Below are 26,531 nucleotides of genomic sequence, written 5' to 3' on the forward strand. Positions count from 1 at the left end.
GGAACTAGCTCTCTCTTCCTCATAGCTACATTTGGGCCAAGATGAGAGGACTCTGACAAGGATCCCAGGGCAAGGGCACTTCCTGGTGCTTGGAGTAAGACCCAGGATTTAGTTTTTGACCAATGTGATTTCTTTATCCAGCCTAAAATTCTGTAGGGCAGGGGCCCCCAACCCCCGGGCCATGGACTGATAATGGTCTGTGGCCTATTAGGAACTGGGCCACACAGCAGGGCATGGGTGGTGGGTGAGCGAGCATTACCGCATGAACTCTGCCTCCTGTCAGATCAGCGGTGGCATTAGATTCTCATAGGAGTGCAAACCCTATTGTGAACTGTGCATGCGAGGGATCTAGGTTGCTTGCTCCTTATGAGAATTTGCTTTTTGTTTTTTTTTTTGCTTTTGTTTTTTGTTTTTCGAGACTGAGTCTCGTTCTGTCACCCAGGCTGGAGTGCAGTGGCATAATCTCGGCTCACTGAACCCTCCACCTCCTGGGTTCAAGAGATTTTCCTGCCTCAGTCTCTCAAGTAATTGGGACTACAGGTGCGTGCCACCACGCCTGGCTGATTTTTGTATTTTTAATAGAGGCAGGGTTTTACCATGTTGGCCAGGCTGTTCTTGAACTCCTGACCTCAAATGATCCACCCACCTTGGCCTTCCAAACTCCTGGGATTGCAGGCATGAGCCACCACCCCCAGCCCCTTATGAGAAATCTAATGCCTGAACTACCACTGCCCCCCACAGCACCCCCACAGCACCCCATCTGTGGAAAAATTGTCTTCCACAAAACCAGTCCCTGGTGCCAAAAAGGTTGGGGACACCTGGCCTAGGGAGAATGATCCCTACCTGCCAGCCAAGGCTAGCTGTCAGTAGAAATCCTATAGGACTCAGTACACAGTGAACTCACAAAATTGTATGGGGACACGAGATTCCACATTCAGACCCAGAATGACCCTCTTGTTCTTTCTGCAAATGCTAAGAACCTCCTTGAAAATGTATACTAAAATTAAGAATAGAAGGATCATGGGGAAATCCTGCAACCCACATAGTTCTGTAAATTTTATAGTGGTTGATTTTTACACAGGAAGTCTTCACTTAATGTCGTGGCTAAAAAATTAGCCGAGTGTGGTGGCACATGCCTGTAATCCCAGCAACTTGGAAGGCTGAGGCACAAGAATTGCTTGAACCTGAGAGGTGGAGGTTGCAGTGAGCCTAGACCATGCCACTGCACTCCAGCCTGGGTGACAGAGCGAGACTCTGTCTCCTAAAAAATTAATTAAAATAAAATAAAAACAGGAATGAATATCACATGCACATCTTTGGGGTGTGGGAGGAAACCGGATACCCGGAGAACACCCATGTAGACATGGAGAGAACGTGCAAGCTCTACACAGACAGTGGCCCCTGCCGGAATTGATTTTTTTTTTTTTTATTTCTCATCGAGGTTGTAATGAAATAAGTTATTCGAGGATATGTTATACTTTTCCTTTGCCTAACACTGCTACTTCTGTCCTGAAGGCAATTTGCAACTGGATTTTCAGTGAATTCTTGGCAGCTTGATGAATTTAGAAAAGGCTATTCTTTCCTCATCGAATCGTCTTGGCACTTTTGTGGAAAATCAGTTGACTATAAATGTATGGGTTTGGTCAGGCACAGTGGCTCATGCCTCTAATCCCAACACTGGGAGGGCTAGGTGGGCGGATCACTTGAGCTCAGGAATTCGAGACCACCCTGGGCAACATGGCAAAACCCTGTCTCTACCAAAAATACAAAAATTAGCTGGGCGTGGTGGTGCACACCTGTGGTCCCAGCTACTTGGGAGGCTGAGGTGGGAGGATCGCTGGAGCCTGGGAAGTCGAGGCTGCAGTGAGCTGTGATCATGCCACTGCACTCCAGCCTGGATGACAGAGCAAGATGCTGTCTCCATAATAAAAATAAAAATAAATGTATGTGTTTATTTTTGGACCCTATTCCACAGATCTATCTTATGCTAGTACCACACTGTCTTGATTTCCGTAGCATTCTCGTACATTTTAAAATCAGGAAGTGTGAGTCCTCCAACTTTGTTCCTCTTTTTCAAGACTTTTGTTTTGGCTCTTCTGGGTCCTTTTCATTTCTGTATGAGTTTAAAATCAGCCTGACAGGCTAGGCATGGTGGCTCACACCTGTAATCCCGGCACTTTGGGAGGCTGAGGCCCGTGGATCACTTGGGGGCAGGAGCTCAAGACCAGCAGGGGCAACATGGTGAGACCCCGTCTCTACCAAAAATACAAAAAATTAGCTGGGCATGGTGGCACATGCCTGTAATCCCAGCTACTCAGGAGGCTGAGACAGGAGAATCGCTTGAACCCAGGAGGTGGAGGTTGCAGTGAGCCAAGATCGCACCATTGCACTCCAGCCTGGGTGACAGAGCAAGACTCTGTCTCAAAAAAAAAAAACAAAAAAAAAAACAGCTTGACAATTTCTTCAAAATAAGCCAGCTGGCTGAGAAAGTTTGACAGGGATTGTGTTGAATCTATATGTCATTTGGAGAGTATGGATTGACATCTTAACAATTTAGGTCTTCTGATTCATGAATATGAAATGTTTCTCCATTTATTTAGATCTTCAGTTTCTTTCAGCAATGTTTTGTAGTTTGTAGGTCTTACACTGCACTTGTTAAATTTATTCCTAAGTATTTTATTTGTTTTGATGCTCTTGGGAGTGGAATTGTTTTCTTATCGATGAATTTAGAAAGCACTCTCTTCTCTGGCATGGTGGGGGTTGGGGCATTTTAAGTAGTTCATCATAAAATATTCTTGATTAATTGAGAATGATTATTGCCAGACACCGTGGCTCATTCCTGTAATCCCAGCTACTTGGGAGGCTGATGTGGGAGGATCGATTGAGCCTAGGAGTTCGAGACCAGCCTGGGCAACATAGCATCTCAAAAAAGAGAGAATGATTATATATGATGTATGTGGATATTCAAATATAAAATATAGTAAGGTACCACCAGTGACCAAAGTCTGCCTGAAACCCCCAAATCCTTGAGGAGTCAGAAGGTGCTTCAGGATGCTCTAGAGCTTCAGGGTTGTCATCCCTTGTGCCTCCTACGACACTCTCTGCATTCATCCTTAGCACCCGTATCACACTGTATCACAGTGGTGTGTTCATGCATGTTCCCTAGTATACTGTGAGAGCTTGAAGATAAGGAATATCTCCTCCTCCTCCTCCTTCTCCTACTCCTCCTCCTTCTCCTCCTCCTCCTTCTCCTCCTCCTCCTCCTTCTTCTCCTCCTCCTGCTTCTCCTCCTCCTCCTCCTTCTCCTCCTTCTCCTCCTCCTTCTTCTCCTCCTCCTCTTCCTCTTCCTTTTCCTCTTCCTTCTTCCTCTTCCTCCTCCTCCTCCTTCCTTCTCCTCCTCTTCCTTCTTCTTTTATTTTTCTTGAGCCAGAGTCTCACTCTGTTACCCAGGCTGGAGTGCAGTGGCATGGTCACAGCTCACTACAGCCTCGACTTCCCAGGCTCAGGTGATTCTCCCACCTCAGCCTCCAAGTAGCTGGGACCACAGGAGCACACCACCAGGCTTGGCTAATTTTTGTATTCTTTTTGGAGTCAGGGTTTTGTCATGTTGCCCAGGCTGGTCTCAAACTTCTGGGCTCAGGCGATCCTCCCGTCTGGCCTCCTAAGTGCTGGGATTACAGTCATGAGCCACCACACCTGGCTTGTTTTGTTTTGTTTTGTTTTGTTTTTTAAGAGACAGGATCTGTCATTCTATCATTCAGGCTGGAATGCTGTGGCACGATCAAAGCGAACTGCCGCCTCAAACTCCTGGCCTCAAGTGATCCTCCCGCATCAGCCTCCCAAAGTGCTGGGATTATGGGCATGAGCCACTGCACCCAGCCAGGACCATGTCTTATGATATTTTGCATCCTCAGTGTTGAATAACATGTCCAGGACATGCTGGATATTCCATGCATACTGACCACTTGCCACGTTATGATCTGTAAGAGAGTTCTGATGAATAGACTTGAGAGTTTATGCACATGTCACTGCAGATTCCAGGCATACCAGCAATTGTCTGCACCACCCTGCTAAAGGGCAGGCCAATGCCACCGTGTCTGTACCTCTCCACCACTTCTTCCTGACCCAATTGAATTGGACCAAGACTCAATCCAACACTAAACTGGGCCAATCAGCTTCATTCCTGAAGATCTGGGAGTGGGGCACTGAGCAGCTGAGTCAGGTATGTTTGCAGAGCTGGGTTATGAGGCTATGGAAGCTCTGTGCATGATTATGCATACACAGCAGCCACAAGGAAACAGATGGAAGCTAGACTCATTTCTGCCAGAAAAGGGAAGAAACAAGAGCCACAGATTCAGAGGGGCAGCTGTCTTGGGCCCCAGTGGTTTCCCAGATCCCTGTTCCTCTGAATGACACCAGGCTGTACTTTATTCCTATGCAATCTCTCTAAACTGTCAGAGTGAACCATCAGCCCATCAACCAAAGCTGCACTGCAGATGCATTTTATTGAGCTCACACATCATTTGAACATTTTTGATCCAATATACTAATATTTGGAGATTTCACAGAAAAACCTAGACTCCTCTTTTGAACATTGTAAGATCTGGTCACACTGGACCCATGGTGGAACAACATCAGCTGGAAGGGAGTTGCAGCCCCCCCCTGCAGACAGGGCTGGTGTTTCTCTTGTCCTTACACCTTTTCCATTTCACTGATTTACATGCCCTGAATTTCCCCTGTAGGAAATTAACTACCGATCCCAGTCTTATAATAAAGCTCTGTTCCTTAATTTTAATTATCCTGAGTAGAATTTCTGTTCCTGGCCACGAAAACAGTGCTGATGAGAGCTCTGTGGCCTACACATCCACGGCAGGCTCCTTGCAACCATCGCCCATCCAACAGCCATTGCTATCCTTCTTCTGTGCTAACAGAATCCCAATTTTGTGTTCAGGAGGCTGTGGGTATCCCTTGGTGCTCGTAGGCCCTTCCTTCCAGCCCTACAGCAGGACTCATGCTGGGATGGGCATGACACCCAGGTCTGATCAATGAGAAGCAATGGTAAATCTGCCAGGGGACTTCCTTTTCTAACCAAAACCAACAGACTCTTCTGAAAGAAAACCTTTTATGACTGCTCCTTTCCCATTCTACCTTCTTTGAAAAGAAATATGATGTCCAGCACAGGGGCAGCCATTTTGTGACCATGAGGTTTCAAGCACAGGGTCAGATGGCCAACATGCAGAGGATGGTGAAAAGAAAAGGCAAAAAGAAGCTGGGTTCTTGATAACATTGTTGAGCGTTGAACCTTCTCTGATCTCTGCCTGGTTTTGGTTCTAATGGTTTAAGCCACTATTGACTGAGATTACTGTTCTTAGGTTGGTGCAAAAGTAATTGCATTTGGGAGGCCAAGGTGGGCGGATCACTTGAGGTCAGGAGTTTGAGACCAGCCTGACCAACATGGTGAAACCTTGTCTATACTAAAAATACAAAAATTAGCCAAGCATCAAGGCGGGCACCTGTAATCCCAGCTACTCAGGAGGCTGAGGAGGGAGAATCGCTTGAACCTGGGAGACAGAGTTGCAGTGAGCTGAGACTTCATCTCAAAAAAAAAAAAAAAGTAATTGCAGTTTTTGCCATTGAAAATAATGGCAGGGGAGACTCTTGATCTTATCATTCAAGGCTTTCTGTTGCTCAATGTTATATTAAAAACAATGAATTTCCATACTAATTTCAAAGTCAATTCCTAAGATACTGTTTCATCCCATTGTGAACACCACCAAGGTCAGTTATATGTTTTTCAGAATACTTGAAGTACGAGAAAAACAGAAATATATAGCTCTGGCTACATTAAATATCTTTTGCCACTTTCTGAGATCTTTCGTAACTCTAAGAGAAACATGGCATTTCCATTAACGAAAATAGGAGCTTTTTGAATAGGATTGTTCAAAATTAGATACAAATGTTCTCAGCTAAAGGTCTCACATATTCAGAAGTTTGGGTGCCTTTTGTGATAGCTCTTGTATCATTTGATAATATTGATTTTTTTGAAAAAGGCAGGCTATTTACAAGGCAAAGAGTTTTTGTTTTGTTTTGTTTTGTTTTTGAGATGGAGTCTTGCTCTGTCGCCCAGGCTGGAGTGCAGTGGCGCGATCTCGGCTCACTGCAAGCTCTGCCTCCTGGGTTCACGCCATTCTCCGGCCTCAGCCTCCTGAGTAGCTGGGACTACAGGCACCCGCCACCACACCTGGCTAATTTTTTTTTGTATTTTTAGTAGAGACGGGGTTTCACCATGTTAGCCAGGATGGTCTCGATCTCCTGACCTTGTGATCCGCCCGCCTCGGCCTCCAAAAGTGCTGGGATTATAGGCATGAGCCACCATACCCAGCAGGAGTTTTTAACTTTCACTTTCTCAAGTAGAGAAGGCCCTCAACTGTAAACCCCTTTACCCTAGTCTCTGGGAAATATTCCTGCCCACCAAGCACTCTATCCCCCCCAGCCCCCAGCTCCACTGGGTTATTCTAGGGTGAGGGAGCGGACATGATCATCCAGTAGCGTCTGACCAGCCGGAAGGCAAAAGAGACAAGCAAAAGTTCTGTGTTACCCAGGAGAGCTCAGCTGTCCAGAAATAATTAGAGCTACAGCCACACGTGGTTCAAGGAAATGTGGTTGTCAGAGAGAGACAGAGATCTGCCAAGCCATCTCCTCTTCAACTGCCTGGGCGGAGGGGGCTGCAGCCCACATTTTAGAGACACAGTATTGTTTGCAGTTGATTTAGAACTTGAGCTGGAAGAAGTCCCCCATCATGACCTGCACACCATTAGAAGAAAGTGTTGTCTCCAACAAGCTCAGCCACAATGTTGGCTGCCAACGGTATGTCTTTCCCCACTCATTGGAAAGGAGATTATCACACTAAAGCATTGAGATGAATTCCGATGAACAAAGGTAGTCAGACCGTTAGGCTGGACTGTCACTAGGACATGATGACAATGAATAAACTTAGGCTCTTGCAATGTCCATCACTGACATGTTTTAATAAGAGTTGAACGCACAAATTGGCTTCCTTGCAATGTTTACTTCAAGCAGTAGGTCTGTCTGCTCTGGCCTTTGATGGGATCTGCCAGCTTCCTCCCTCCTTGTCTATGTCCCCTGCCTTCACCATGGGAAAAAAGGCTCCAGTAAACCAAATCCCAGAAGTGATGTTGCCTGCGGAGACCAACTCAAAACCAACTGGCCTCCCACTGCTTCCTTTGAAAACATATACATTTCACACACCTGAGTCCTCCCACCCCTCTCCACTCCACGGCAGGCTCCATGAATGGAACTCCAGGGGCTGCCTTTGTGTAATGATCAAGACGTCCCTGGACAGAGGAGCAGCTTCGCATCAGGGAATCCTGGTCCCCTGATCCCCATGGGATGAGATGGTGGGTGTAGCATCCTTCTGGTTTCTCTGCCCATTCAGCTGTCTACCCATGCACAAAACCCAAAGCCCTGGATTTTGGATTTTGTACCTGCAAACCTGAGTAAACTTTTTCCCCTCAAGAGTCATCATTCAGGCCGGGTGCAGTGGCTCCCACCTGTAATCTCAGCACTGTGGGAGGCCGAGGCGGGTGGATCACTTGAGGTCAGGAGTTCGAGACCAGCCTGGCCAACATGGTGAAACCCTGTCTCTACTAAAAAGTACAGGTGGGCACCTGTAATCCCAGCTACTCGGGAGGCTGAGACAGGAGAATTGCTTGAACCCGGGAGGCAGAGTTGCAGTGAGCCGAGATCACGCTACTGCACTCCAGCCTGGGCGACAGATCAAGACTCCGTCTCAAAAAACAATAAAAGTCACCATTCAGCCTGACCAAGGAGGGGGCCAGGAAAGAAGTCGGAACCGTGGCCTTCGCTGCTTCAGAAGGGGAGGCCCGTGCTCTGACTTCAGCTTGATTCACTTTGGCCTCAGTCCTCAGTTCCCAGGGGGTAACGGCGTTCTGAGGTTGTCACCTGGTGCAAGACCAGCTGTCCCCAGGGACACATCTGGATCTCTTGGTGCCAACAACGGCAACTCCAGAGGGGGCTGGGTGGGGGCATGTGGCTCCAGTTTGAATGCACCATGTCCATCTGCCAGAGAATCCACTGGTCAGGCTCTAGGGAGGCAAACCGGGGGGCCCCTGCCAGGAAATAGCTGCTCAGACCACACCTAGATCGCCTGCAATTTCAAAGAAGAAAGCCTGGGGCTGTGAGTGTGGGAGAAACCTACTGAACAGGTCCGGTGGGTGGACAGCAGGTGTCACATGGGCCTGAGCCTGGACGGTATCTACAGAGAGATATTTTGGTTGTTCACTGAGGGTTTGGCCGGGTGACTCTGGGTGGTGTCTGATTGGTTGCTGGCATTACCAGACCCTCCTAATATGGGTAGTCTTCCCATGTAGATCCACAGGTTATGAACAAAGCTTTCACCACATATACAGAGAACCCCCTAGAGCAAACATCTCCCCATCCCTGGGTGGACCTCAATGAAGATGAGCAAACTGAGTCAAGACACAAAACCCTGTTGGTCCAGGTCATACTCTTGGGTGAGTTCTTGATGTCGGCAGTGACAATCAGTGCCCCAGTTGGGGCCTGCCAGCCCCCCAAGCTCTGCAGCCTCAAAGACCAGCTCAGTCCCCCATCGGTCACTATTCCTGAGAGCCAGAGTTCGACCTGGTAACACCTGCACCGTGCATTCCTCGGCCGACCATCTCCTGGCCCCACTCCCGGTGGCTGGACTCCTGCAGTCCTCGGCCTTTGGTCTCAATGGGCAAAAAGCAGGAGGCCAGGGCAGCCAGGAGGCAGCAGCCACTGTAAACTGCCAGAGTCAGGTACACAGAGGATTCCAGCATCACCTAGGGGAAGGAGACACGGGTCGGTGAAAGCATCCCTTCTGAAGCACAGACATCGCCAACCATCAAATAGTATTAGTAACATCAGGCCCTCTCGTGATATCTGCTTGCTAAAAAGGATCTGGTGATTCCCTCCTCTCCCCCTTTGTCCCTCTCTCTCCTTGTGACACGCCTGCCCCTCCTTTGCCTTCCTCCATGAGTAAAAGCTTCCTGAGGCCTCACCAGAAGCCAAGCAGATGCTGGTGCCATGCTTGTACAGCCTGCAGAATCGTGAGTCAAATAAATCTCTTCTTTATAAATTACCTGATCTCAAGTATTCTTTTTTTTGTTTTTTGTTTTTTTTGTTTTTTTGAGATGAGTTTCATTCTTGTTGCCCAGACTGGAGTGCAATGGCGCAATCTTGGCTCACCGCAACCTCCGCCTTCAGGGTTCAAGCGATTCTCCTCCCAAGTAGCTGGGATTACAGGCTTCTGCCACCACGCCCGGCTAATTTTGTATTTTTAGTAGAGATGGGGTTTCTCCATGTTGGTCAGGCTGGTCTCGAACTCCTGACCTCAGGTGATCCACCCACCTTGGCCTCCCAAAGTGCTGGGATTGCAGGCATGAGCCAACACGCCCAGCCAGGTATTCCTTGAAATCAACACAAAACGGACCAACACAGATGCCATGCCACAGCCCTATGAGCTAAGTACTTCATCCCCATTTTACAAAGGAGAAAACTGAGGCTCAAAGAGGATAAGTGGTTCCTACCCAAGTTCATACAGATAATAAGGATGGGGCTGGGATTTGAACTTGGGTCTGCTAAGCTTGAGTCTGGGCTCCTTATAACTCTTCTCTCCTCTGGAACAGTGCAGTGCCTGTGCCAACTTCCTAGCTTTTGGCACATGGCAAACAACACGGCAGAGCTGAGTCCCATTTTCTTTTCTTTTGAGATGTAGTCTCGCTCTGTCTCCAGGCTGGAGTGCAGTGGTGCAATCTTGGCTCACTGCAACCTCTGCCTCCCGGGTTCAAGCAATTTTTCTGCCTCAGCCTTTTGAGTAGCTGGGACTACAGGCATATGCCACCATGCCTGGCTAATTCTTTTGTATTTTTAAGAGAGATGGAGTCTCACCAAATTGACCAGGCTGGACTTGAACACCTGACCTCAAGTAATCTGCCCACCTCAGCCTCCCAAAGTGCTGGGATTACAGCTGTGAGCCACCATGCCCAGCCCATTTCTTCATTTGCCAAATGGGCATAGAGTGGTGTCACTTCCTAATGGGAAGAACCTGGCAGCACCTGGCACCGTGGAGGCACATGGTGAGCTCTCAACCAGCATCAGTTAGGAGTGCCACACAACGGCTAAAATCAAAGTAGAATAGAAACACTTGGCTAAACACGTCTTTAAATTCCATTTCTCTGCAATATTCAGACTTGGCAAATCTACAGAAAGCAGATGGGTGGTTGCCAGGAGCCTAGAGGAAGTGGGCAATGAGGAGTGACTGCTTAGTGGATCCAGGGGTTTATTTTGGGGTGATGAGAATGTTTTGGAACTAGATAGAAGCAGTGGTTGCCCAACGCTGTGAATGTGCTGAATGCCACTGAATTGTTCCCTTTAAGATGGTTAATTTTGTTATGTGACGTTTACCTCAATAAAAAAGTGATTCAAACAGAAAAAAACCTGGATTTTCAAAAAGCAAAAAGACTTACTAAGATCCCTAGATACAAATGCTTCATGACACACGAAGAGTTGCAAAATTCTGCAATGACGTCTAATTATCTAATTCAAAAAGCAGGAACTGGCATATTTATTTGTTTTCCACTAAATTTTGTCGGCATACTTGTTTTCTTTCCTTTTTTTTTCTTTTTGAGACAAGGTCTCACTCTATCGCCCAGGCCGGAGTGTAGTGGAGCAATTTTGGCTCATTGCAAACTCTGCCTCCTGGGTTCAAGCAATTTTTGTGCCTCAGCCAGAATTACAGGCACCTGCCACCACACCTAGTTAATTTTTGTATTTTTAGTAGAGATGGGGGTTTCACCATGTTGGCCAGGCTGGTCTCGAACTCCTGACCTGAAGTGATCTGCCCGCCTCAGCCTCCTAAAGGGCTGGGATTACAGGCGTGAGACACAGCACCTGACCCTTCTTTCCTTTTGTTAAAAAAAAAAAAATTTTTTTGGCCAGGCACAGTGGCTCATGCCTGTAATCCCAGCACTTTGGAGGCCGAGGCAGGCAGATCACAAGGTCAAGAGATCGAGACCATCCTGGCCAACGTGGTGAAACCTTGTCTCTACTAAAAATACAGAAATTAGCCAGGCGTGGTGGTGCACGCCTGTAATCCCAGCTACTCGGGAGGCTGAGGCAGGAGAATCGCTTGAACCTGGGAGGCGGAGGTCACAGTGAGCTGAGATCACACCACTGCACTCCAGCCTGGGTGACAAAGCGAGACTCCATCCCAAAAAAAAAAAAAAAAAATCAACTTTTATCATAGATTAAGGGGTCCACTGCAGGTTTGTTACACAGATATATTGCATGATGCTGAAGTTTGGGGGTACAAATGACCCCATCCCCAGGTAGTGAGCCCAGTACCCAATAGGTGGAATTTTCAGCCCATGACTCCCACCCTTCCTTCCCAGTCGAGTGGTCCCCAGTGTCCATTACTCCTATTTTTATGTCTATGTGTATTCAATGTCTAGCTCCCAGAGAACATGCAGTATTTGGTTTTCTGTTCTTGCATTAATTCACTCACAATTGCCCACTTGTTTTCATCCACATTGTTTTTAAGCAAAACATATGGCAGCCCAAGGATTTTCTTCACAGGGAAGACCTGGGTTTGACTCCTGGATTGGCTACTTTCCAGCTGCATGACCTTGAGCATGTCATTTTAGCCCCTGAGCCTCTGTTTTCTCATCTGCAGGCAATATTTCTTCTGTCCTCGGGTGTGTTGTTATGATAAAATGAGCGAATGCAACCCGAGGGCTCTGGGGACAGTCGGCATGTAGTAACTGCTTGCCATGCATGGGGTTTTGTCACCCCCCATCCCTCTGTATTTGGGGGCAGCACCTACCTGGGCGATGAACGGAGTGATGAGAGCACCCACTCTTGCCATGCCGCTGCAGGTGCCCAGGCCGAGGGCCCGCGTTGCCGTGGGGTAGACCTGAAACACAGCAGCCGGATATAGGCATGGGGACATGCAGGTTCCTCCCACCACTCCAGCTCCAAGCTGATAGGACCAACCTCAGGGGCAGGCCGGAAGTCAGGGCAAATCCCTCCAGTGCTGGTGACGCCCTTAAGGGACAGGGATCCTCACCCCAAAGGGCATGGGAGGCTCAACTCAGACCTAGGGCAAGAGGCTGAGCTGCGGGTGGGAACCCAGTAAAGGGGTCCACTCTGTCCTGGGGGGGGCTCCCCAAAGACTCCTCCACCAGGAACTGCCACAAGTTCACAACTCAGGGGTTGCTCTCTACCTTCTTCTCATGCGTTCACCTTGAAGCCTGGGTCACAGGTTTTCAAGGGACTTCATAAAGAGAGAGATGGAAATGTTTACAGTCTCTCAGTTTGTACCCAGTAGGGGCCACGTGCTTTGTTAAGTGGCAAAGTGAGAAGGGATTGTGCATCTTCCAGCCCAAGGTAATTAAGAAGGGTATGTTTTCTCCTCTCCCTTCCCATGTCTGCTGGCTGCGAGAAGGACTCCATGGCCCTAAGCCAGAGGGCTTCTCAGCCTGGGCACTGTGGATGTTTTGGGATGGCTCATTCTTTGTCATGGGGGTGGGGGTTGCTGTGCGTTGTAGGATGTTTGGCAGCATCCCTGGCCTCTACCCACGAGATTCCAGCAGCCCTTCTGCCTCCCCATGCCACCTTATGACAATCCAAAATATTCCCAGGCATTGCCAAATGTCCCCTGGGGCAAGATCCCTGGATAAGAAAGGCACACGATGCGAGGAGCCTGGGTTCCCAAATCACTGGAGGAGGAAAGCTGTCCCCCAACCTAGAACACCCATATTGGACTCTTTTATTTTATAGTATTTTATTTACTTATTTATTTGAGACAGGGTCTCACTCTGTCATTCAGGCTGGAGTGCAGTGGCACAATCATGGCTCACTGCAGCCTCGACCTCCCCGGGTTCAAGTGATCCTCCCACCTCAGCCCCACCCCGAGTAGCTGGGACAACAGGCATGTGCCACCACTCCCAGCTAATTTTTGTATGTTTTTTAGGGATGAGGTTTCACCATGTTACCCAGGTTGGTCTTGAACTCCTGAGCTCAAGCGATCCACCTGCCTCGGCCTCCCGAAGTGCTGGGTTTACAGGCGTGAACCACTGTGCCTGGCCTGGGCTCTTTTATAAGTGAGAAGCTGCTCTCGTATCAAAACCCTCCACTCTGGGGGTTCCCTGTTACATTAGCTAACATGTTTTAACAAATGCAATGCTCAGTGTAGAAAGCTTGCAAAGAATAAAAACTTAAAGAGGAAAATATAAAACTCATTCAGGATCTCAACACTCGAGATTTGTCACATTTTTATGTATATTCCTCTAGCCTTTTCTGGATTATATATTGCACATATATCTTCATTCACTTACTTATTCAGCACATACTTCTTCAGTGCATACCATATGCATTTCTACATGATATTTCAATTTACTCAATTACATAAACAATATAGAAATATATCCTCCTTGTAAAAAATCAAAATGCCTAAATTCTCTCCTGATCTACTTCCACTGCCAGGAAAATTCTCCTCATAGGGCCCTACTATCAGGGATATCTTTGGAATGTATCTTCCCAGATATGTTCAAAAATATACACATGGAAAATAGAAAGTAAAATACATAAATGGTATCATATCATACATATTCTGCAATCTGCCTTTTCCATTCAGTAGTATGTCTTAAAATCTTGTCCACATCAATACATAGACATCCACCTCATTCTTTTTTTTTTTTTTGAGATAGGGTTTTGCTCCATTGCCCAGGCTGGAGTACAGTGGCATGACCATGGCTCACTGCAGCCTTCAACTCCTAGGCTCAAGTGATCCTCCCACCTCAGCCTTCTGAGTAGCTGGAACTACAGGTGTGCGCCACCACAGCCTGGCTCATTTTTATTTTATTTTTTTAGAGAGAGGGTCTTGCTATGTTGCTCAGGCTGGTCTCAAACATCCGGGCTCAAGTGATCCTCCTGCCTCGGCCTCCCAAAGTGTTGGGATTATAGGCATGAGCTACCGCGCCCACCACCTCATTCTTTTTAATGGTTTCTGGAAGCAGAGCATCCCCCACAGCCACTCTCCCCCCACTGCCCGTTCCCCAGCAGCTCCCAGACACCCCTCCTACCTCAGGTGTGTAAACATATGCCGCTTGAAAGCCTCCAGAAATAAACGCTCTTGCAATGAAGAGTAACAGAGTGAGCACATTTCTAGGAGGAGGATAAAGGCAGATGATGGCATTTTTTTCTGTCTGCTTGTTTCAGCATAGTCCTATCTTCCCAGGCAGTATCAATGCCCTAGCAATTGGCAAAGGTTACCCCTCCCCGATGCTCATTGATACAGACATGCAGGCACACATATTTCAGTATCATCTTGACAGTCCTGCTTTTGTAAGTTAATCATTCCTCAAAGTAACAGGCTGAGAGATGGGAACACCTGTGGTGCCCAGGATGGGCACAAGATTAGGGAGAAGTGATATAAATAGTGGAAAGCTCAGACAGGAATTTGGCTGAGGGTGGAGCAGGAATTGAGCCAGGGGCCAGCTGAGCTGGGGAAAGTAAACCACTATTTAGTATTCTTAGGATAATTCTGATCCCAACCCTCTGTCCCATTGTTCCCATAAATGTCCCAGAACACTAACATTTCAGGGTCGAAGCTACATCTCCCAATCTTCCTCAGACCAGGAGGTGGCCCACAGATTCCTCACTAGGTGTGGTCTGGGGCCTCTCAGAGATCAATAGAGGCATAAGCCATTTCTATATTTTGAGGCTCTTGGCAAATGGAAAAATGGAGAAATGTTAAAACGGGATTACAAAACGATCTATTTGAAATATTTCCATTGAACAAGTTAACAGTTTTAACATATATATAAATAGCTACATTTATGATCTCATTGGGAGATGATATCAAAAGTCTAAATATGGCATCATTAGAGCAAAACTGGGGCCAAAGTTCTCCCCTGACTACAACCCCCATCAGAGACCCTGATCTTTTATCCAGTTGTGAGGCAGCCATGACCCTCAGTCCTAATGAACACCTACACCTTTTTACCTGTATCTGCACCCACTCCTGGGCCTGCACTGACACCTGCACCCCCACTTGTACCCACACTTGGGCCAATACCCGCAACCTGGGCCGGCACCCACACCCTACACCCACACTTGGGCCTACACTCACACCTGGGTCTGTACCCCTACCTGCACCCACACCTGCACCCATACTTGGGCCAATACCCACACCTGGGCCTCACCCACACTTGTACCTACACTTGGGCTTACACCCACACTTGGGCTTACACCCACACCTGAGCCTCACCCACACCTGTACCTACACTTGAGCTTACACCCACATCTGGGCATCTACCCCACCTGTACCCACACTTGGGCCAATACCCACACCTGGGCCTGCACCCACACCTGGGCCTGCACCTATACCTGCACCCACACTTGGGCCTATACCCACACCTGGGCCTATACCCACACCTGGGCCTGCACCCACACCTGGGCCTATACCCACACCTGTGCCCACACTTGGGTCTATACACACACCTGGGTCTGCACCCATACCTGGGCATACACCAACACATGCACTCACACCTGTACCTGTACCCATATTCACACCTACACCCACACTTGGGCCTGCACCTCCACCTGGGCTTACATTAACACCTGGCCCGCACATCTACCTGGGCCTGCACCCACACCTGCACCCACACCTCCACCTGTGCTCAAACTCATACCTAGGCTTGCAGATCACCTACCTTCCAACACAGATAAACAGCAGGAGGCTGCAGAAGGAGAAGATGACAAAGCACAGGGCCATGGTCTTCTTGCGCCCCAGGCGGTCAATAATCCACAGAGTCACAAGGACACCTGGAAGGGGAGTGGGGAGAGATAGGCAGCTTCCGATGTGATTCCCAATGCCCTCCATCCTCGTAGCACAGCCTGTATCATCCCCTCCCCTGGAGGGTGGACTAGACTTAGTGACTCACTTCTAATGACTAGAAGACAGCAAAAGTGATAAGGTGTCACTTTTGAGGTCAGGTGATAAAAGACTGTGACTTCTGTCTTGGTGTTCTCTTTCCCTGGCCCTTCTCATATATTTGCTTTGATGGAGAAGGCCAGTTGGCAAGGAACTGAAGGTAGCCTCTGGCCAACAGCCAGCAAGGAACTGAGGCCCTCAGTGCAAAAACCTTCAAGGAATGGAATCTTGCCAGCAACCATGTCAGTAAGCATGGGAGTGGATCCTGCCCCAGCTGAGCTTTCAGATGAGACTACAGACCCTGGGCCAATGCCTTGATTGCAGCCACATGAAATATGCTGAAGTAGAACACCCAGAGAAGCCACAACAACTGTGAGATCATAAGTGTGCATTGTTTTAAGCCACTACATTTTTGGGATGATTTGTTACCTGGCAATAGATAACTAACCCAGGCACCAGCAGGAGCCTGAATGATGACATTCACTGAATCCAGGGAACAGGATGTCTGGGTTCTAATGCCTCATTTTCCCTTTAACTTGCCATGTGGTCTTGGGCTAGTCCCTTACCTCCTCTGAGCCTCATTTTCTTCTTCTATAAAATGGGCCTAAAAAATAACACACTCTACCTCAGTAGAGGCAGTATAGCATAGTGCTTATTAGTAATAATAATAACTGAATTTGAGATAAGCATTTTTACATCTTTTTTTTTTTTTTTTTTTGACAGAGCTTCACTCTGTCACCCAGGGTGGGGCGCAGTGGTGCGTGTGATATCAGCTTATTGCAATCTCCGCCTCCTGGGTTCAAGCGATTCCTGTGCCTCAGCCTGCTGAGTAGCTGGGACTACAGGTGCACGCCATCATGCCCAGCTAATTTTTGTAGTTTTAGTAGAGATGGAGTTTCATCATTTGGCCAGGCTGCTCTCGAACTCCTGACCTCAGGTAATCTGCCTGCCTTGGCCTCCCAAAGCACCAGGATTACAGGCATGAGCCACCATGCCCGGCCCCATTTTTACATCCATAATCTTGTTTAGTCATCAAAACGATCCTCTAAAATACATGCTATTAATTTATCAAATAGCATTTTTCCACAGTTATTCAGTCAATGAGCACCTACTGTGTGTCAGGAACTGTTCCAGGAGGTTGGGGCACATTAATGAACAAAACCAAATAAAACAATACACATAGTAAATAAAGAAGAATCTGGGTTTCAGAGAGGTAAAATCACAGAAATGGTGACTGCTTCCAGTTACAGAAATGTCATGTAATGTGACTTTCTTAAAGTCACAGAAATGGAGATTGCAAATGCTGAGTTTAACTTCTAGCCTTCATTCTTACCTACTAAGCTGTGTGGGGAAAGGGTTTTAGAGGAAAGATAGACAGTGTAGTATGGGACTGAAGACTCTGAATTCTAGGGTGGCAGCACAGGTCTTAGCGCTGCCTGCTGTGGGGTACTCAGTATCATAGTTGGGTTTTCCCAGAAGCAAACCCTGAGACAAGGATGCAAGTGCAAGGCATCGACTTGGGAGGTAATCCAAGAAAGGACCAGCAGGAGAGTGGGGAAGTAAATTTGGGAAGGGAAAGCAACAAACAAAAGGTGGGTATCAAGCAGTTGCCCACTACTGTGGGCAACTGGAGCTGAATTCCACTGGGGGACTCAAAAGCCAGCATAGAACATGCGCCTTGGAGTTTTCCTGCTGATGGGCAAGGACGCTGGGGTATTTGTCCACCAAATCCCACAGTATTGTTTAAAGGCTGCTCCCAGGTGCTAACTCCTTGGCACTTCCAGCTACCTTGCTTGCTTTTAGATACAGACACTTCTCATTCCTTCTGAGATAGTCTTCAGGCACAGAATCCTAGCAGTTGCAAGTTGCGGGAACAGTTTCTGCTACACTGGGCAAATTATGTCACCACTCTGAGCCTCAGTTTCTTCAGCTGTAAAATGGGAATAACTAAACGACTTCACAAGATTAAATAAGATTGCATCTGTAAGACATTTAACACAGGCCTTGGCATACAACAGGTACTCAATAAATACTAGAAGTTATTGTAGTTGTAATAATTATTCCTCTTAAAAGAAAAAAAGATAGATCACCTTTGCATCACGTGCAGGTTTGGATTTTTGACACTCTACTGTTCCTTTCCAGTGTGCCTGGTGTTGGAGGATGATTCTCCATGGGTTTCTCATATTTCTACACATCTTATGAGCAGAGGGATCAGCTGCCCTTTTGGACCAGGCTACCATGTCAGAGTTGTTTGTACAGCAAACAACCTTGGAAGATAGGGATACTGTTTCCCTCTGGAGCAAAGGGCAGGTTGGCTTATCGTCCAATATAATAAAGATGATGTCTCCCTTAGGGAGGTTTCTGGCAGGCTATTATAAAATATTTGGGTTCCCTAAGCTTGGGGTTCCCCAGCTGTGTTGAAAATCCATTGCATGTGTAGCCTCCACGTGGGTCCTTCCTCATCATCCCCATGGGACTTGGGGGCAAGGGAAACAGTCACCAAGGTACTACTCAAGCTGCTTGCTATAATAGTCTTTTGTCTCTGACCCAGGAGTCTCATGTCTTCTGCCAGCATGCATGAAACTGGGCAGCTTAACTTGACAGCCTTCAAGTAGGGTAACATCTCAGCCCCTTCACAGTTCTTGACAACTTATAGTTAAGGATTGAAAAACAAAGTCCCTCGCTGACTAAAAATGGGATTTGCTTCCAGGTAGGGTAGACAGAGCCACCAGCTGAACAATTGCCATATTCCCAGGCTTGCCTGACACAGCTTCACCTTGCACAGGTCCCTCACCTGGAAACTCAGAGAGGGTGGTCCACAGCAAGTCCATGTAATCCTCCTCACTCAGGTACTCGCAGGCCAGGCTGCATTTTGCCTCTACAGCCTTCTTCCGACTGGAGACTGGGGTTGGGAGAGAGAAAGAGAGGGGGAGACATATACAGAGTCTTGAATCACACCTTCCTGCTCCCCATACCTCCTTCCCTGGGGTGATTCAGTTTAGATGCCATAGAAAGAGCCCAGACTCAGAGACAGACAGATTCATGTTTGAACACCAAGCCGCAGTGCTCCAGCTTCATCTCTCTAAGTGTGAGTTTCCTCATAAAACTGGGGCAAATAAAAGCACCATGTAAAGGGATTGAGAGACTGAAAGTGGGCTATGCGTATGAATGTGCTTAGTACAGAATTGGCACGTAGTAGGCACTTTAGTGGCAGACAGACTCTAGGGTGGCCCCCATGATCCCCACTTCCTGGTAGTCATATTCTTGTGTAATCCCCTCCCCTTGATTGTGTAGATGGGGCCTGTGACTTGCTTCTAGCCAACAGAGTACAGCAAAGGTGACAGGATGTATGTGATTGCATTAAACAAGACTGAAATGCCCATTGTGCAGGACTGTCTCTTATGCTTTTCCTTGATGACTATGAAGGAGCAAGTGGCCATGTAGGTGGCCTATGTGGTGGCAAGGAGTGGAGGGGAGCCTCTAGTTGCTGAGGGCAGCCTCAGTTGACAGCCAGCAAGAATTTGAAGCTCTCAGTCCTACAACCACAAGGAATTGAATGCTACCAACAACCAACATAGGTGGGGTGGTGGGTCCTTCCACAGTTGAGCTTCCAGATGAGAACACAGACCTCCAGTCCTGGCTGATGCCTTGATTGCAGCCTGGCAAAGGACCCTGCTAAGTTGTGTCCAGACTCCTGACCTACAGAAGCTATGAGATGATAAGTGTGTGCTGTCTCAGGCCACTAAGAAACAACACACATTTATCATCTCATAGTTTCTGTAGGTCAGGAGTTTGTGGTAATTCTGTTATGCACCAATAGATAACTAATACATGGTTATCACCTGTTCCTGTCCCTCACCATCTACCCCTAACCTTTTTATTGAAAGCGAATTGGAGTGGAACCCAATGGCCAAAGAGGTGATGGAAACAAGATCTCATCCCTGTTCCAGGCAGAGTTAATAAAGAAGGATGAATGCTACATTGCTCCCTTCCTGACCTTGCTTTACTCTCAAACTATGGGACTAATCTCCTAAAGATAGAGGTGAAATGGTCTGAAATGTGTCCCTCCAAAATTCATGTTGAAACCTAATCTCCATTGTGTTGGTATTAAGAGGTAGGGACTTTGGGGAAGTGATTAAGTCATGAAGGCTCTTCCATCATGAATGGGATTAGTGTCTTCATTAAAGAGGTTGAAGGGAGCTCCCCAGCCCTTATGCCATCTGAGGACACAGTGTTTGCCCCTTTTATCATGTGAGGATGCCACAAGAAGATGCTGTCTATAAAGCAGAGAGCTCTCCCCAGACACTGAATCTACTGGTGCCTTGATTTTAGACTTCCCAGCCCCCCAGGACCGACAGAAATAAATTTCTGTTGTTTCTAAGTTACCCAGTCTAAGGTATTTTGTTATAGCAGTCCAAATTGATTCACACACCCTATCTGAACCAGCCATTTAACAGGCAAGACTCAGAGAGGGTGAGTGTCCCCCAAAGTTGCTCCACCTACACTTTCCCCATCTCAGTTGTGGCATCTCCATCCTTCCAGTTGCTCAGGCAGAAAGCCTTGGAGGTATCCTTGACTATTCTCTTTTATTATACCCTACGGCCAACCCATCAGCTGTTCAACCTTCAAAATATATTAGAATAGGATTGGCCACATCTCATCACTGCTGAGACAGAGCAGGGACCCTGTCTCAGGAGGCTTCTGCCCACCACCCCCAAACATGGAAATAAAGGAAAATCTTGAGTCCCTTCAAGAGAAATACCAGGCACCTAGCTAGCCTTGAGAAGTAACTGAAGAACTTAATAAACAGGAAGGTAAAAATACCTTAAAATAATAGCCACCCAAGAAGGTTAGAGCCACAGGATGTTTGGTTCCCTATAGAAACTAAAGATAACATCTTAACATATGTCCCTGAGTTGGTTTCAGAAACCCAGAATCCACCAGATGGAAAATGCTGACCACCATTGAGTAGACATAATAGATAAGGGAGAACTGAGGACTCAACTCTGACCACTGCCCTTGATTATAAATCTTTTCCTGAGGGGCCTAGAGAGAGTCAGGCCCACAGGCCAAACCTTAACACTCCTTCCTGCTGACCTCAAGTTTTTGAAAAAGCCTTCCTTTTTTTTTTTACCAATTACAAATCAAAGAATCTCTAAGTCCACCTGTAAGGCCCCCTGATCCTCAAGATATCCCAATTTCAGGGTCCAAACCAAGGTATAGTTTCCATGGATTGACCTCTGATTTTGCCTGTAACTTCTACTTTCCTAAAATGTACCCCTGCCTTTAAAAATCCTTGTTTATAAGCCATCCAGGAGGTCGGATCTTCAGTGTGAACTGCTTGTTTCTCCTTGCTTGGCATCCTGCAAATAAACGCCCTCCTTTCTCCTACTGCAAACTTCAGTGTAGATGTTTGGCTTTACCGTGCCGGGGGAGGTTCGGTTCAGTAATACTGCCGCCATCTTGGTCTGAGCCATCGTCAACCATCCTCTCTCATCTGGATTACCAAAATAACCTTCCAACTAGTCTACCTGCTTCTACGCTTGTACTCACTTTCTCCCCTGACCTCTCCACCCAGCCATGGTCTATTTCCAACACGTCAGTCAAAGGGATACTTTTTAAACCTAAGTCAAATCACTGTTATTCCTCTGCCTAAAACTCTGCAATGACCTCCCATGACACATAGAGTAAAAGCCAAAGTCCTTCAAAAATCTTTAAGGCCCTATATTATCTGGCACTTAACACATCCTTGACCCCACCTTCTACTTCTTCCCCTGTTGCTCCACTCACTCTACTCCAGCACACTGGTCTCCTTGCTGTTCCTTTGGCAAGTAAGGCATGCACCTGCCTCAGGATCTTTGCACTGGCTGATCTCTCTTCCTGAATTGCCCTTTATCCCTCCCCATGATGAATTTCCTCACTTCCTTCAAGTCTTTGAATTTCACCTTCTCATTGAGGCCACCCTGACCATCCTATTTAAAACTTAACTCTAACCACTGCCCCTTTATCTGCCCTACATTCCTGACCTTTTTTTTTTTTTTGAGACAGGGTCTCACTTTGTCACCCAGGCTGGAGTGCAGTGGCACAATCACCGCTCACTGCAGCCTTGAATTCCTGGGCTCAAGCAATTTTCCCACCTCAGCCTCCCAAATAGCTGGGACCACAGGCACACACCACCAGGCCCAGCTAATTATTTTGTATTCTTTGTAGAGATAGGAATTTGCCACATTGCCCAGGTTGGTCTCGAACTCCTAGCCTCAAGCAATCCTCCCTCCTCGCCCTCCCAATTGCTGGTATTACAGGTGTGAGCCACCACACCTGGGCTTGTTGCCATCTTTATGTTCATGAGTACCCAATGTTTAGCTCCCACTTATAAGTAAGAACATGTCGTATTTGGTTTTCTGTTCTTGTGCTAATTTGCTTAGGGTAATGGCCTCCAGCTGCCTCCATGCTGCTGCAAAGGACATGATTTTGTTCTTTTTTATGGCTGTGTAGTATTTCATGGTGTACTGGTACCATATTTTCTTAACCCAATCCACAGAAATATGGCATGCTTCATCAATTTGCATGGAATCCTTGTGCAGAGTCCATGCTAATTTTCTCTGTATTGTTCTAATTTTAGTATATGTGCTGCTGAAGTAAGCATGTGTGAAAGACTTTGAAATGGGCAAAAATGTCTTGTAGTTGTACCTTTATAGGTTACCTTCACCTGTCATTGTCTTTGAGCTATGTTGTAGAAAAATGATAGTAATGTAAATGATTCTAGTATTAATACATAGAAATGCAAATAGTGCCTGGTGGTGATGCAGTTGACTGCCCTATACATATTGACCAGTTTTGCCTCTAATTGTAAATTCACTTCAGCATTTCTGATTGCCTGTATATGTGTTTGCTTTGACTTCTCCTTTGAACCAGTTGTACCCTCTTATTTGTGTTAGTAGACAATTCTCTTTGGGTCTCTGACATTTCTGCATGTTTTGAGTAGATGCGCTGACTACCTTTGTTCTGGACTATATTTTCAAGGATATTTGTTTAGCAAACAGCCTTGGAAGAAAGAGAATGTCTCCCCTTGGCTCAAATAGTAGTTTGCTTATGGCTTTCGAAGATAAAATGTCTCTCTCCAGAGCAAAGGACAGGCATGCTTACTGTCTAGTATAAAAGGTTGGGGTTCCCTAAGCTCAGGGATCTTCTCTTGTTACACAACTCAATACTTTTGTTGGTATTGCCTGCCCCTCTTCATGTTACCCTGGGGGATTGGGGGCTTGAGGAACTGGTGTAGGAAAATGCCGATACTCTGGCTACTGCAATTGCTATGAGTAATATGGTCCTTTGTCTCTGACCCAGGAGTGTTGTGTCCTCTGCTAGCACCTGTGGGAGCTGTGAAAGGCTAACTTGTCAGCTTGCAAATAGGTCACACTCAGACTTTAAGTAATTCTTAACTGATTCATTTATTAATTAATGAGTTAATTGAAGTCTGTCATGTATTAATTTTATATTTGTACGAGAGGCATGATTTTACCTTTTGTTTAAAATTTTTCCTTTAACTCATCTATCACCTTGTAATATACTATATAATTTCTCATCATGCTATTGTCTCCCCTTCCCCCCAAATATAAGCCCACAGGGCAGAAATATTTGTCTTTTGTAATTAGAATTCACTGACGTATTCTAATGACAAAGACTCTCTCTCTCTCTTTTTTTTTTTTTTTTTTTGAAAGAGGCTCTCACTCTGTTGCCCAGGCTGGAGCAGGATTGTGCAGTGGCACAATCTTCGCTCACTGCAACCCTCCACACCTGCAGGCTCAAGTGATCCTCCCACTTCAGCCTCCTGAGTAGCTGGGACCACAGGCACACCAAGTCAGGCTACTTTTTTGTACTTTTTATAGAGATGGGGTCTTACCATTTGCCCAGGCTGGTCTTGAACTCCTGAGCTCAAGTGATTCACCTGCCTCAGCCTCCCAAAGTGCTGGGATTAAAGGCATGAGCCACCATGCTCAGCTGACAAAAAACTCTTTTTTTTTTTTTTTTGAGAGAGAGTCTCATACCATCGCCCAGGTTGGAAAGCAGTGGTGCTATATTGGCTCACTGCAACCTCCGCCTCCTGGGTTCAAGCAATTCTCCTGACTTGGCCTCCCGAGTAGCTGGGATTACAGGCACATGCCATCATGCCTGGCTACTTTTTGTATTTTAGTAGAGATGAGTTTCACCATTTTGGCCAGGCTGGTCTCAAACTCCTGACCTCAAGTGGTCCACCTGCCTCAGCCTCCCAAAGTGCTGGGATTACAGGTGTGAGCCACCATGCGCAGCCAACCCCCACACCCCCCTGACCCCCACCATTTTAACCAAACTTTTGTCAGGCTCCTCTGAGTCTTTTTAAAATTTCATCCTCACCCTTGGGCTCTGTCTAGTTTTGACAAGATACTGCTGAATCAGTCTAGCGAAAATGCACACCTTTGATATTTTTGATCCAATTCCTCACCCCCCACCCTTGATTTCTTATCACCCTGGCCTGTGATGGGGTTCAGGACATGCCAACCCTCAAATATGGCACCTTGGCATTTTGAATATTTTAAGTCAAAATAATTGGAGAAACAGCATGTGGAGAAGGGGCCTCTGACCTTCCTTTGCCCCTCACCCCTGAAGCAGGTCATAAAACCCAGACGGATTTTCTGATTTTTTTTTTTTTTTTGAGACAGAACCTCACTCTGTCACCCAGGCTGGAATGCAGTGGTACAATCTCGTCTCACAGCAAGCTCCGCTTCTCAGGCTCAAGCGATCCTCCCAGTTCAGCCTCCCAAGTAGCTGGGAACACAGATGCACGCCACCACACTCGGCTCAGTTTTTGTAGTTTTGATAGAGACAGGGTTTCACCATATTGCCCAGGCTGGTCTCGAACTCCTGAGTTCAAGCAATCTGCCCGCGTCAGCCTCTCAGAGTGCTGGGATTACAGGCATGAACCACCATGCCCGGCCATTTTATGACTTTATTTTGAAGCAAATCATAAAACCCTCAGGTGAGAGGTGCCCTGCCTATACCCAGAGAAAAAGAAAATCCTTATCTCCAAAGACACAGGGACAGAAAAGAATCTGAACAGGCCTTGCTGACTTTCCCCCAGTTTGTTACCACTAGGTCACACTCTTCGTCCTGTCATATTTCTCTACGACTCTCCACTGTTCATCAAATCTGGCACAAAGATACTCAGGCTTAACCATTTCTCCAGGTCTTCCTTTCCTTATGAAGGCTCCTATGCCACATCAAACTTAGATGAAATACGTTCATATGCTTTTCTTAATCTGTCTTTTGTTATAGGGGCCTCAGTCATAAAACCAGGATGAATAGAAGGAAAGATATGCTTCCTCCCCTATACTTGCCTTCAGCAATAGTCCTTTTTAAATATTTATTTATTTAGTTAGTTAGTTAGTTAGTTAGCTAGTTATATTTTTAGAGACAGGGCCTCGCTCTGTTGCCCAGGCTGGAATGCAATGGTGTGATCACACCTCACTGCAGCTTTGACTTCCCCAGGCCCAGACAATCCTCCTGCCTCAGCCTCCTGAGTAGCTGGGACCACAGGCATGCGAATTTTTTCTACATTTTGTAGAAATGGGGTCTCACTATGTTGCCCAGGCTGGTCTTGAACTCCTGAGCATAAGCAATCCTCCCACTTTTGCCTCCCAAGGTGCTGGGATTACGAGTATGAGCCTGGCCCAGCAATAATCCTATCAAGTCGGTTTAACCAGAAACCATCTTATCCTTGACATTTCCTCTTAGTAATTTTCCATCCACTGACTCCCCCACCCTGCTCCCTGGCTATAAATCCCCACTTTGAATACTTGCGTATACAGAAAGGAGCCCAGTTCTATACTGAGGTCTCTCTCCTCCTATTGCAATTGTTACTAAATGAAATTTTCCTTCACTGCTTTCACTTCTGTCCAGCTCTGGCTTTTTTGGACACTGACACATAGACCAGTACCTGGCGTGTAGAAAATACATACTAAGTAAATGACTTGCCCAAAGTGACACAGGTACTTGGTGCTGGAACCCAGGTCTCCTAATTTCCAGCTGTGGGCTTGTTCTACAGTTTTACTTTCCCACCCAGGTATAAGAGAGAGCTTTTCAACAGGGGTTGGCAAACTCTGACCAAATCTGGTCCCTTGCCTGTTTTTTGCCTGACCTATGTGCTAAAAATGTTTTTTTCGAATGATTTTTAGAAATTAAAAGAAGAGGAAATAATGAGGCATAAAAATGACCCAAAATTCAAATTTGCATGGAAACACAAGCAATGCTTGTTCATTTATATTGTTAAAAGAAAGACCTTGGACAAATTAAATGTAACAGAGTTTAATTGAACAAACAGTAAATCGTGAATCAGGCAGCCCCCAAGCCAGAATAGGGTCAGAGACAGACTGGTACTGCCAAGTGTTTAAAGGTTTATGGACAGAAACAGGAAAGTAACAGAAGACGGAAGTGAGATACAGAAATTGCTGGACTGGTTACAGCTCAGTGTTTGCCTTAT

General features: G+C 46.7%; 1 protein-coding gene and 1 pseudogene across 1 annotated transcript in view, besides 2 other annotated features; both read right to left on the minus strand.

Annotated features, from left to right (window-relative positions):
• Positions 3,324-3,824: an enhancer, noted in NCBI's record as "H3K27ac hESC enhancer chr12:109300977-109301477 (GRCh37/hg19 assembly coordinates)". NCBI's record gives its function as "activates a minimal SCP1, AML or CMV promoter by ChIP-STARR-seq in naive H9 embryonic stem cells {active_cell/tissue: H9 hESC(naive)}" and the evidence as "EXISTENCE:reporter gene assay evidence [ECO:0000049][PMID:30033119]".
• The window catches only part of SVOP (SV2 related protein), a 113,328-nt gene continuing 90,660 nt past the window's right edge, over positions 3,864-26,531 (minus strand). The window contains exons 12-16 of the mRNA NM_018711.5: positions 18,813-18,920; positions 15,798-15,909; positions 14,166-14,247; positions 11,906-11,995; positions 3,864-8,864 (exon numbers count right to left, since the gene is read on the minus strand). Coding sequence (NP_061181.1) covers positions 8,658-8,864; positions 11,906-11,995; positions 14,166-14,247; positions 15,798-15,909; positions 18,813-18,920 — 599 coding nt within the window. The 3' untranslated portion in view covers positions 3,864-8,657. The remainder of the gene's footprint in view (positions 8,865-11,905; positions 11,996-14,165; positions 14,248-15,797; positions 15,910-18,812; positions 18,921-26,531) is intronic.
• Positions 14,182-14,697: an enhancer, noted in NCBI's record as "NANOG hESC enhancer chr12:109311835-109312350 (GRCh37/hg19 assembly coordinates)". NCBI's record gives its function as "activates a minimal SCP1, AML or CMV promoter by ChIP-STARR-seq in naive H9 embryonic stem cells {active_cell/tissue: H9 hESC(naive)}" and the evidence as "EXISTENCE:reporter gene assay evidence [ECO:0000049][PMID:30033119]".
• RNU6-361P (RNA, U6 small nuclear 361, pseudogene) lies at positions 22,558-22,664 on the minus strand (annotated as a pseudogene).

This window comes from Homo sapiens, chromosome 12 (genome assembly GCF_000001405.40).
Source record: "Homo sapiens chromosome 12, GRCh38.p14 Primary Assembly".
Taxonomy (NCBI): Eukaryota; Metazoa; Chordata; class Mammalia; order Primates; family Hominidae; genus Homo; species Homo sapiens.